General features: G+C 36.2%; 1 annotated feature.

Annotated features, from left to right (window-relative positions):
• Positions 10,580-11,779: an enhancer, noted in NCBI's record as "MED14-independent group 3 enhancer chr4:130504726-130505925 (GRCh37/hg19 assembly coordinates)". NCBI's record gives its function as "activates an origin of replication core promoter dependent on BRD2, BRD4, P300/CBP and CDK7 cofactors, and independent of MED14, by STARR-seq in HCT116 cells {active_cell/tissue: HCT116}" and the evidence as "EXISTENCE:reporter gene assay evidence [ECO:0000049][PMID:35650434]".

Here is a 12,572-nt window from a genome sequence, read left to right on the forward strand (position 1 = left end):
TACAAGTCTGAAAAGGATTATGTCAAAAAAATAATAGATACTTTATCATTTTGGAAAATATGAGAAATAAATATGATTTCAAAGTTAGACATTTTGAGGAATGAAGGAAAATCATTCTAAAGACAAGAATTATTCTTTAAGAGAAATTTGTTTGCATAAGACACTTTATTGAGGATTTAACATGTTAGCACAGCATTGTATGTATGTATTAGTTTGTCAGAATGCCTTTAGCTACAAGTAATATAAAAGTCAATTTAAACTGACTTTTAAAATAAAGACATTTATTGTTTCACAAAATTGGTAGTCCACTGTTAGGGCTTTCTAAATGTTCTAATTAGTGACATAACTCCATTTTTCCTCTTAGATATTCTTTAAATTCTAAGAGGGCAGGAAGACGGATTTAGTTAATCTGGCCTCACATTCATACATAAGAAAGCTCATAGGAGAAAAGCTATCACCTTTTTAAGATCGTGGCTGGGTGCAGTGGCTCACACCTGTAATTCCAGCGCTTTGGTAGGCTGAGGTGGGCAAGTCATGAGGTCAGGAGATCGAGACCATCCTGGTTAACATGGTGAAATCCCATCTCTACTAAAAATACAAAAACAAAATTAGCCAGGTGTGGTGGCGAGCACCTGTAGTTCCAGCTACTTGGGAGGCTGAGGCAGGAGAATGGCGTGAACCTGGGAGGCGGAGCTTGCAGTGAGCGGAGATCATGCCACTGCACTCCAGTGTGGGTGACAGAGCAAGACTCCATCTCAAAATAAATAAATAAAATAAAATAAAATAAGATCTAGGTTTCTAAGTCTCTAGAAAACTTCCTTTCAGGTCACTCTGGACACAAACGCACATAAATGTCCCAAATGGTGCAGGATAGGATTAACACGAAGTCAATCAGGTCTACCGTAGTGTAGTGCTGAAATCCCTAGGCTCACATGTGAAAGATCATCAATAAACAAATTAATAGTAATTTGGAACAGTTAGATTCTGCTGTGATAATAAAAGACCCTGAAATTTCAAGAGCTTAAAGCAGCAAAGGCATATTTCTCACTTGCTAGTTCCACTAGTTTTTTATTTCCATAGATTATTGGGAGACAGGTGGTGTTTTGTTACATGAGGAAGTTCTTTCGTGGTGATTTGTGAGATTTTGGTGCACGCATCACCCAAGCAGTGTACACTGCATCCTATTTGTAGTATTTTATCCCTCGCCTCCTTCCCACCCTTTCCTCATGAGTCCCTAAAGTCCACTGTGTCATTCTTATGCTTTTACCGCCACATAGCTTAGCTCCCACTTATGAGTGATAACGTACGATGTTTGGTTTTACATTCCTGGGTCAGTTCATTTAGAATAATAGTCTCCAATCTCATCCTGGTCACTGCAAATGCCATTAATTCGTTCCTTTTTATGGCTGAGTAGTATTCCATTATATATATATATGTATATATATATATATATATATGTATATATATATATATATATATGTATATATATATATATATATATGTATATATATATATAAAACTTCCTTTCAGGTCACTCTGGACACAACTGCACATAAATGCCCCAAATGGGTACATATATATATATATATATATATATATATATATATATATATATGCATCTCACAGTTTCTTTATGCACTTGTTGATTGATGGGCGTTTGGTTCTGTTTTTGTAATTGCAAATTGTGCTTCTGTAAACGTGCATGTGCATATATCCTTTTCATATAATGACTTCTTTTCCTCTGGGTAGATACCCAGTAGTGGGATCGCTGGATCAAATGGTAGATGTACTTTTAGTTCTTTAAGGAATCTCCACACTATTTTCCATAGTGGTTGTACTAGTTTACATTTCCACCAGCAGTGTAGAAGTATTCCCTGTTTACCGTATGCAGGCCAACATCTAATATATATATATATATATATATATATATATATATATATATATATATATATTTTTTTTATTATGGCCATTCTTGCAGGGGTAAGGTGGTATTGCATTGTGGTTTTGAGTTGCATTTCCCTCATCATTAGTGATGTTGAGCAGTTTTTCATAAGTTTGTTGGCCATTTGTATATCTTCTTTTGCAAATTGTCCATTCATGACCTTAGCCCACTTTTTGATGGGATTATTTGTTTTTTTCTTGTTGATTTGTTTGAGTTCGTTGTAGATTCTGGATATTGGTCCTTTGTCAGATGTATAGATTATGAAGATTTTCTCCCACTCTGTGGGTTGTGTGTTTACTTTGCTGACTGTTCCTTTTACTGTACAAAAGCTCTTTAGTTTAATTAAGTTCCAGCTATTTATCTTTGTTTTTATTGCATTTGCTTTTGAGTTTTTGGTCATGAAATCCTTGCCTAAGCCAATGTCTAGAAGGGTTTTTCCAATGTTATAATCTAGAATTTTTATAGTTTCAGGTCTCAGATTTAAGTCCTTAATCCATCTTGAGTTGATTTTTTTATAAGGTGAGTGATGAGGATCCAGTTTCATTCTGCTACCTGTGGTTAGTCAATTATCCCAGTACCATTTGCTGAAAAGGGTGTCCTTTCCCCACTTTAAGTTTTTGTTTGCTTTGTCAAAGATCAGTTGGCTGTAAGTATTTGGGTACATGTCTGGGTTCTCTATTCTGTTCCATTGGTCTATGTGAGTATTTTTATACCAGTACCATGCTGTTTTGGTGTCTATGACCTTATAGTTTGAAATCCGGTAATGTGATGCCTCCAGATTTGTTCTTTTTGCTTAGTCTTGCTTTGGCTATGTGAGCTCTTTTTTTGTTCCACATGAATTTTAGAATTGTTTTTTCTAAGTCTGTGAAAAATGACGGTGGTATTTTGATGGGAATTGCATTGAATTTGTAGATTGCTTTTGGCAGTATGGTCATTTTCACAATATTAATTCTACACATCTGTGAGCATGGGATGTGTTTTTATTCGTTTGTGTTGTCTATAATTTCCTTCAGCAGTGTTTTGCAGTTTCCCTGGTAGAGGTTTTTTTTACCTCCTTGGTTAGATATATTCCTAAGTATTTTATTTTTTGGCAGCTATTGTAAAAGTGGTTGAGTTCTTGATTTGATTCTCAGCTTGGTCACTGTTGGTGTATAGAAGAGCAACTGATTTGTGTACATTAATTTTGTATCCAGAAACTTTGCTGAATTCATTTACCAGTTTTAGGAGCTTTCTGGATGAATCTTTAGGGTTTTCTAGGTATAAAATCATATCATCATCAAAGAGTGACAGTTTGACTTCTTCTTTACTGATTTTGAGATCCTTTATTTTTTTCTCCTGTCTGATTGTTCTGGCTAGGACTTCCAGTACTGTGTTGAAGAGGAGTGTGAGAGTGGGCATCCTTGTCTTGTTTCAGTTTCTTAGAGGGAATGCTTTAAACTTTTACCTATTTGGTATTATGTTGGCTGTGTGTTTGTCATAGATGGCTTTTATTATATTGAAGTATGTCCTTTGTATGCTGGTTTTGCTGAGAGTTTTAATCATAAAGCGATGCTGGATTTTGTTGCATGCTTTTTCTGGATCTATTGAGATAATCATACGATTTTTGTTTTTAATTGTTTATGTGGTATTTATCACATTTATTGACTTTCATATATGAAACCATCCCTGCATCCTTGGTATGAAACCCACTTGATCATAGTGGATTATCTTTTTGATATGTTGCTGGATTTGGTTAGCTAGTATTTTGTTAAAGATTTTAGCATCTATATTCATTAGGGATATTGGTCTGTAGTTTTCTTTTTTGTGTGTGTCCTTTCCTGGTTTTGGTTTTAGAGTGATACTGGCTTCATAGAATGAGTTAGGGAGGGTTCCCTCTTTCTTTTGTGGAATAGTGTCGGTAGGATTGGTACTAATTCTTCTTTGAATGTCTGGTGGAATTCTGCGGTGAGTCCATCTGGTCCTGGACTTCTTTTGTTGGTAATTTTTAAATTACCATTTCAATCTTGCTGCTTGTTATTGGTCTGTTCAGGGTATTTAATTCTTACTGATTAAAGTTAGGAGGGTTGTATGTTTCCAGGAATTTATCTATCTCTCTTAGGGTTTCTAGTTTATGCACGTAAAGGTGTTCATAGTAGCCTTGAATGATCTTTTATATTTCTGTGGTGTCAATTGTAATATCTCCTGTTTCATTTCTTATTGATTGGATTTTTCTCTCTTTTTTATTGGTTAATCTTGCTAATGGTCTATCAACTTTATTTATCTTTTCAAAGAATCAGCTTTTTATTTCATTTATCTTTTGTATTTCTGTTGTTGTTGTTGTTTCAATTTCATTTAGTTCTGCTCTGATCTTGGTTATTTCCTTTCTTCTGCTGGGTTTGGGTTTTTTTTTTTTTTTTTTTCTCCAGTTCCTTGACATGTGACCTTACATTGTCTGTGCTCTTTCAGATTTTTTGATGTAGACATTTAGGACTGTGAACTTTCCTCTTAGCACTGCCTTTGCTCTGTCCCAGAAGTTTTGATAGGTTGTGTCACTATTGTCATTTAGTTTGAAGAATTTTTTTAGTTTCCATCTTGATTTCATCTTGACCCAGTGATCATTCAGGAGCACATTATTTAATTTCCATGTATTTGCATGGTTTTGAAGGTTCCTTTTGGGGTTGATTTCCACTTTTGTTCCACTGTGGCCTGAGAGAGTGCTTGACATAACTTCAAGTTTCTTAAATTTATTGAGGCTCATTTTCTGGCCTATGATATGGTCTATCTTGGAGAAAGTTCCATGTGCTATTGAACAGAATGTATATTCTAAGATTGTTGGATGGAATGTTCTGTATATATCCGTTAAATCCATTTATTGCAGGGTGTAGTTTAAATCCATTGTTTCTTTGCTGACTTTCTGTCTTGATGACCTGTCTAGTGCTGTCAGTGGGGTATTGAAGTCCCCCACTATTATTGTGTTGCTGCCTATCTCATTTCTTAGGTATATCAGTAAAAGTTTTATAAATTTGGAAGCTCCAGTATTAGGCACATATATGTTTAGGATTGTGGCAGTAGGGGGAGGAACAGATGGTGGGTGAGGCCCTAGAACTTCCAAGAGTATATGCCCTTTGTGTTCAGTTACCAGAATACGTAGGAAGGACCATTAGGTGGGGGCAAGGCTAGGCATGTCTGAACTCAGACTCTCCTTTGGCGGGTCTTGCTGCAGCTGCCGTGGAGAATGGGGGTGAGGCTCCCAGGTCAATGGAGTTATGTTACTAGGAGGATTATGACTGTCTCTACTGTGTCATGCAAGTTGTCAGAAAAAATGGGGGAAAGCCAGCAGTCACAGGCCTCACCCAGTTCCCATGCAATCTGAAGGCCCAGTCTAACTTCCACTCTGCCCATCCCCAACAGCACCAAGTCTATTTGCAGGCATTGGGTGAGCAGGGCTGAGTACTTGCTGCCTCCCAGCTGTGAAAGCAAATATGGCTTTCTTTCTTCTCCTGCCGATGGAGTTTGCACACCAGATTCATGCCTTCCCCTGAGTTCTGGCCAGTTCAAATTGTTACAGAACTTAGCTGGAGGTTTCCTTCTTCCTGTGGCTTTTTCCAGAACGTCTGGCTGCCCTCCGGGAAAACCCCTGTGAGGCCAGGCAGAAACAGGTTACTAGGGGACCGAGCGAGCTCCCAGGGCTTTTCCCACTGCTTCCTCTACCCCTGAATTTCACTCAGCTCTCTAAATTGACTCAGCTCCAGGTAAGGTCAGAATCTTCTCCTGTAATCTGGACCTTCAGTCTCCCCAGTGGGGGTGTGTGTTCAGCTGCGGATGATCTCTCTTTCCCACTTCCACAGTTTGGGCACTCACAGTATTCAGGGTGTCTCCTGGGTCCTGCAGGAGCAACCCACTCCCTTCATGGGGTCTGTAAATCCTCTCAGGTTTCCCAATTTATCCCTGCAGTTGTTCTAGAGCAAAAATTCATGATGTGAACCTCCACATGCTGTTCTGTTCACCCAAGTCAGAGCTGCAATCTAGTCCTGCCTCCTGTCCGCCATGATCCCCTCAGTCCCCTCCAGCTCCACATTTTTTAATTTCTCACTTTAGGAGCCAGGCTTAAGGAGCATCTCCTGTTTGGAAGAGTGCTAGTTTATGGTGGACTACAGTTGGCTTTAAAAAATAAACTTAATTTAGGCATAAAATACATGTAATAAAATCCATCAATTTAAAGTGTTAAATGAAATTTGATAAATTCCTACATCAATGAAATAACTGCCACGATCTCTAAGACACAGAACATTTCCATCAAACCATCTTGAAACTTTGAAGTCTATCCCTCCCTCCATTCCCTGTCTCAGGCAATGAACTGAGTCGCTTTTTATTACTATAAATAAATTTGCATTTTCTAGCATTTTGTATGAATGGAATCACACAGAATGCACTCTTTGTGTTTGGCTTCCTACAGTTAGCACAATGATTTTAAAGTTTCTTCACTCGTGTTATTGCATGTATCAGTAATTCATTTCCCTTTATGCTTAGTAGTATTCCATTATACTGATGTGCCATATTTTGTTTACCCATTCACCTTTGGGTAAATTCTTGTTTTTTATGTTTTGCATAAAGCTGTTATGAATGTTTATGTACGAGTTTTTGCAAGGACAAATGCTTTCTTTTGTCTTGAGTAAATTCCTATCAGTAGAATAGATGGGTCATGTGACAGATACTTGTTTAATTTGGAAGAGACTGACAAAAAGCTATCCAAAGCAGCAATATCATTTTACATTCTCACTACCAGGGAATGAGAGTTCAAGTTTTTTCCACATTTTTTCCAATTCTTCATACTTTCAGTCTTTTAAGATGCAACTGTTCTAATGTATGTCCAGTGACTGTCATTGTGGTTTTAATTTGCACCTTTCTAAGGACTAATGATTTTGAGCATGTTATATGCTTACTGGCCATTTATATATTTTTTATGTGAAGTATTTGTTCAAGCTTATTACTTATCTTCCCATTTCTGTACTTAGTATTGTTTACTATGGTCAGAATTCATACATGGTTTAATTCTTTTGAATATATTAAGACTTGTTTTATGGCCTAGCTAGCTTGTCAAACACACCAAATATACTTGAAGAAAATCTGTATTCCGCAGTTTTTGACTATTGCATTATAAAATTATATATAATTTTATAAAAGAATGGTGCATGTCTACTTAAATTTGGAATTTTTCAATAAATACTGTGGGGCTTTCATATTGGGAGGTTCTACATTTGCAAATGTGGATCAAATGTGGATCACAAATCCCGTATTGGCAGCATGTGCCTATGGTCTCAAGCTACCAGCTGAGGTGGAAGGATTCCTGAAACCCAGGAGTTTGAGGCTGCAGTGAGCTATGATTTATCTCACTAATGCACTCCAACCTAGGAGACAGAATGAGATCTCATCTCTTAAAATAAAATAAAATAAAATAAAATAAAATATAGTATTTGCAGAATGCAAAACCCATGTACATGGAGGGCCAACTATTCCTCTAAGTGGGTTCCATGAGGCAGACTGCAGGACTTGAGTTTGTGTCAATTTTGGTATGGGGTGAGTACTGGAAGCAGTCCCCTGTGGATAACTAGGGATGAGGTTGTTTAGAACCTCTCTTTCTTTATTGATTTCTGTTTAGATGATGTTGGAATTGCTAACAAAGTGGTATTAAAATCTCTTACTATAATTATAAATTTGCATATTTATCTCTTTAATTTGTCAAATTATGCTTCAAGTATGTTGAAACTTTGTTTTTAGGTACACACACATTTATGATTATAATGACTTTCTACCTAATTGATACTTTCATCGTTATGAAATGCCCCTCTTTATCTCTCATAATATACCTTGTCTTGAAGTCTATCTATGTCTATTATTCATAGAGCCATGCCTGACTGTTTATGCTTACTGTTGCACAATATATCTTTTCCTATTTTTTACTTTCAATTTATCTGTGAATTTATTTTTGAAGAGTTTCTATTTTAAAAAGCTTATAATTGAGTCTTGGTTTTTTCTCCTTTCTGACAACCATTGCATCTAATTGAAGTAATTATATCTGTAACATTTAGTGCAGCTATTGATATGGTTAAGTCTACTATTTTAATTCTTATCTATTTGTTCTCTGCTTTTTGTTCTTCTGTTACTCTTTTCCTAACCTTTATTATTTAAATATATTTTAGAATGTTATTACATTTTCTATTAGATGTTTAGACATATCTGTTTTCAATTTTTAGTAATGGCTTTAAGAATTACAATATATAACTTTCACTTTTCATAGTATACTTTGGAGCTAATATTTTAACATTTATTATATAATATAGAAAGCATATGACTATAGTGGTCTATTTATGCCTCTACCTACATTGTTCTTTTATGTTATCAACTGGTATTATATCTCCATATAGTTATGTGATAAGAAGGATATCGATTCTAGGAACCAAAAGGAATGGACCTTCTCAGCCAATTTTACATTTTTTGGTTGCTTAAAGTATCAACTTAAGTTTAAAACATTCCCTACCTCATGGGTGTGGTTGGAGGAAGTGAAAGCCTCTTATAATAAAACAAACAAACAAAAAGTACTTACTATTCTACTCTCCTTTTCAGCTAGGCACAGGCATGTAATCTAGCCTTAGCAAATTAGATGCAGTGATTCTGAATTTTGAAGCAAGTGCTACTGTACAAAAAGAAAAGAAATACTAAAACAAAAGTAAATATAAAACCAACCAAACAAACAAACAAAAAGGAGTGACTTCAGAGGCTCCTTGTACCATATATATATATATATATATATACACACACATATATATATGCCATACTTGTACCATATATATATATATATATATATATATATATGTGGTACAAGATTTATTTTCCCTGTACAATCCGAAGAAATGGGCATTTTTCTAAATAAACACAATACAATCATCAAAATCATAAAACTAACATTGATATATCACTACTATCTAATACTTAGGCCCCATTTAAGTTTCACTCATTGTCCCAGGCCTTTATAGGAAAATAATTTCACCCAGAATCACATGTTGCATTTGTTTTCCATTTCTCTTCAATTGCCTTCAATCAGGAAAAATTCTTCAGTGTTTTCTTACTTTCGTGACTTAGACAGCTTTCAATAAACAAGTAATTCTGTAGAAATGTTCCTAATTTTGATTTATGTGATGTTTCCTTGTTAGATTCAGATTATGTATATTTCTCAGGCTATCATAGACATGAGGCTGTGTTTTTCTCATTGCATTCTAGTTGGTGGCATTCAATTTCAATGTGTTCTATTACTGATGAGATAATTTTGATCACTTAAGTAAGGTGAGGTCTGCCAGGCATTATGAAGTAACTTTAACTTTTTTGAAATGAATAAGTATTTAATAAAAGAGTCCTTTGAGACCTTGTAGGTATTCCTTCCAACTTTCAGTTTTTAAATTTATTTCTTAAAAGTAATGTGGACATACAGATTCCTATTTTACTTGATGGATTTTAAGCTTTTACTAACATTCCTTTTGATGCTCAAATTGTCTTAGATTTGTTCAGTGGAGGCCCTTTTTAATAGTGATGCCCTTTAATATTTCAGCACTTTCTTTTTTCTGGCATAAGAAGACTCAGGCTCATGAGTGACTCTTTTTGCTCCAACATTGGAATTAACCTTTTCTTTAATGAGTCTTTGTTCCCTTTAGTTAGGATGATGTTTAGAAACCAGTATTTGGGACTGGGCGCAGTGGCTCACACCTGTGATCCCAGAACTTTCGGAGGCCGAGGCAGGTGGATCATGAGGTCAGGAGGTTGAGACCAACCTGGCCAATGTGGTGAAACCATGTCTCTACTAAAAATACAAAAACTACCTGGGCATGGTGGCATGCCCCTGTAATCCCAGCTACTTGGTAGGCTGAGGTAGGAGAATTGCTTGAACCTGGGAGGTGGATGTTGCAGTGAGCAAAGATTGCAGTGCTGTACTGTGGCCTGGGTGGCCGAGCAAGACTCTTCCTCTAAAAAAAAAAAAAAAGGAAAGAAAGAAAGAAAAGAAACCAGTATTTGGGAACTACATGTGTACATTGCTATTGTCATGTTGCTGCTAACAGGTGGTGAGAAACCTAGCTCCCATGTTCTCCATCTATTAAATTTTAAAATTAATCTTCATGTATTTAATCAACATCCTATCACTGTCAATTGTATCCCCGTTCTTGCCCACAGTGAGGAACTCAAACTTCCTCATTATGCTTAGATTCCAACACCCCATCCAGAGCTGTCATCTTGCATAGATGCCCTCTACACTTTGTTTAGTTTCCAAAACCAAGTACTGGGACACCTCCCTGCACATAGGACACCTCTCCGTACACCTCTCTCCTTATTCCCTTCAGGCTCCAAACCATACATTGGGTTGATTATTACACTCCTCATAAATCCTGCATGTACACTCTTCTCACCTCACTCATGTTTTGATACCCCACTGTGTCATTCCCTCAGAATAGGGCTCCATATCCTACTCATACCAGAACTCCCTGACTCCTGCCACACAGAATCTCTCCCCAGTCTGCTCAGGTTATAAAGCCCACACTGGCTGCTCTGCTAGGCCAATGCTCACCTTACTCCATTTTTGATACCCTGAAACAGGTCCCATTGCTCAACTCCAAAAAAATGGCTTTTGGACTAAAATATTCAAGAAAGACAAAAAAGAAAAAGAGGTAAGGAAAAATAAGACACTTAAACTTAATATGCATTTAATAAGGTACTCTTTTGCTAAACCAATTGAGCTAATTTTTATTGTTTGCAAATAAGAAACCTTACTAAAACACACTATAAGAAATAAACTTTTATTCATGGGAGACCTTTGTAGAAAATGTATACAACTGCTGAAGAAATAAGCAAATATCTGAGTGATGTAAGCAAGATAGTGGAGTAGGAAGTCCTAGCTCTTGTTTTTCTACAGAAACATTGATAGAACAATGATTTTGCCTTGAGGAGAAGCATCCCAGAGGAGCACAGACTGAAAGCAGTTGCATTTATATTGGTAATAAGATAAATTTCACTTTATTGCATCAGTCCTTTCCCCAAACCAGCTTAACATTGCACCACAAAAATTGCTTCAGCCCATGATTTCTCCCATGGGGTGAGGGGAGTGATATTGGTTGGAGTGTGTGCCTAAATGTCTGGCCTCCTGGCTTCTGAGGACACCCTTCGTGAGGCATGTTTTTAATCTTGTTTCACAGTGAGTGCTGAGTCATCATCAGGGCCTGGTCTCCTGGAATACCTACAAAAAGAGATGGGGACAGCATTCCCTTACATCCAGCACTGCTCTGCAAGATTGGGAAGACGAGCAGAACTGAGATTTTTTTCCTCTGAGGGAGGGAAGGAAGCGAAGGGGGCGTATACCTAGCATTTCAGAGCACTCGCTGTGAAGCCAGTTTTTCTCCACGGAATTTGGTTCCTTGGAATAGCTAGCAATAACAAAAAAAAAAGTAAGAAAAAAATTAATTATTCTCTTGCAGCTGGTACCACTATGTGAAATAGGAAAAAAAAAATGCATAGCTGTAAGGCTTTTCCTCTAAGAGGGAGGGAATAATGTTAAAGGGGCTTGTCTCTAGACTTTTAGTGCACTCATTGAAGTGGGTCTCTATCTTTTCCTATATCAAGCACTGTAGATGATGAAAGTCCCTTCCAGTCAAAACAAGTCCATAAAGACTGGCAGACACAGATGCTTCTTCAAATGTGCATACAGGAAAGCATATGTACAAAAAGCATGAATAATAAAAAAGACACAATTAAAGAAAGAAGTAAATCTTTAATAGGCAACCCAAAAGAAATAAAGATCTGTGACTAAGCTGACAAAAATTCAAAATAATTATTTGAAAGAAGCCCCAAGAGTTACAAAAGAACACAAATATAACAAATACATAAAATTAATGAAATAATATGTGAACAAAATGAAAATATTAACAAAAGAAAGAAATTACAAAAAAGAAACAAATAGAGATACTGAAGCTGAAGTATACAATAACTGAAGAGAAAAATTTACTGTTCGAAGGCAGACTTGATCAAGCAGAAAAAAGAATCAGTGAATTTTGAAGACAGGTTATTTGAAATTATCTAGGCGAAGGAGCAAAAACAATTTAAAAAGAATACAAAGTACTTAAAAGACTTATGAAGCTCCATCAAACAAACTCATATATGCAAATACCAGAAGAAAAAGAAAGGACAGAAGCAGAAAGCTTACTTAAAAATACTGATGACTGAAAAATTTTAAAATCTTAAGTGGGAAATGAATATCCAGTTTCATAAAGGCCAAAGAAATCCAAACAGGTCATATTTGGAGAGAAATACACCAAGTAACATTACAATCAAATTGTCAAAAGTCAAAAACAAAAAATTTTTGAAAGCAGTAAGAGAAAAGTGACTTGTCACATAGCAGGGAACATCTGTAAGACTATCAATGGATTGCTCAGCCGAAATCTTGCGGAACAGGAGGGATTAGTATGATTCATTCAAAGTGCTGAAAGTGAAAACTAAAAACACAGAATTGCCAACAAAGAAAACTATACCTCCCAAACCATCAGTTAGAAATAAAGAAACAAAAAAGACTTCCTAAACAGATGAAAAGTAAGAGAGTTTATCATGACTAGACCTT

The sequence above is a fragment of the Homo sapiens genome, chromosome 4 (genome assembly GCF_000001405.40).
Source record: "Homo sapiens chromosome 4, GRCh38.p14 Primary Assembly".
Classification (NCBI taxonomy): domain Eukaryota; kingdom Metazoa; phylum Chordata; class Mammalia; order Primates; family Hominidae; genus Homo; species Homo sapiens.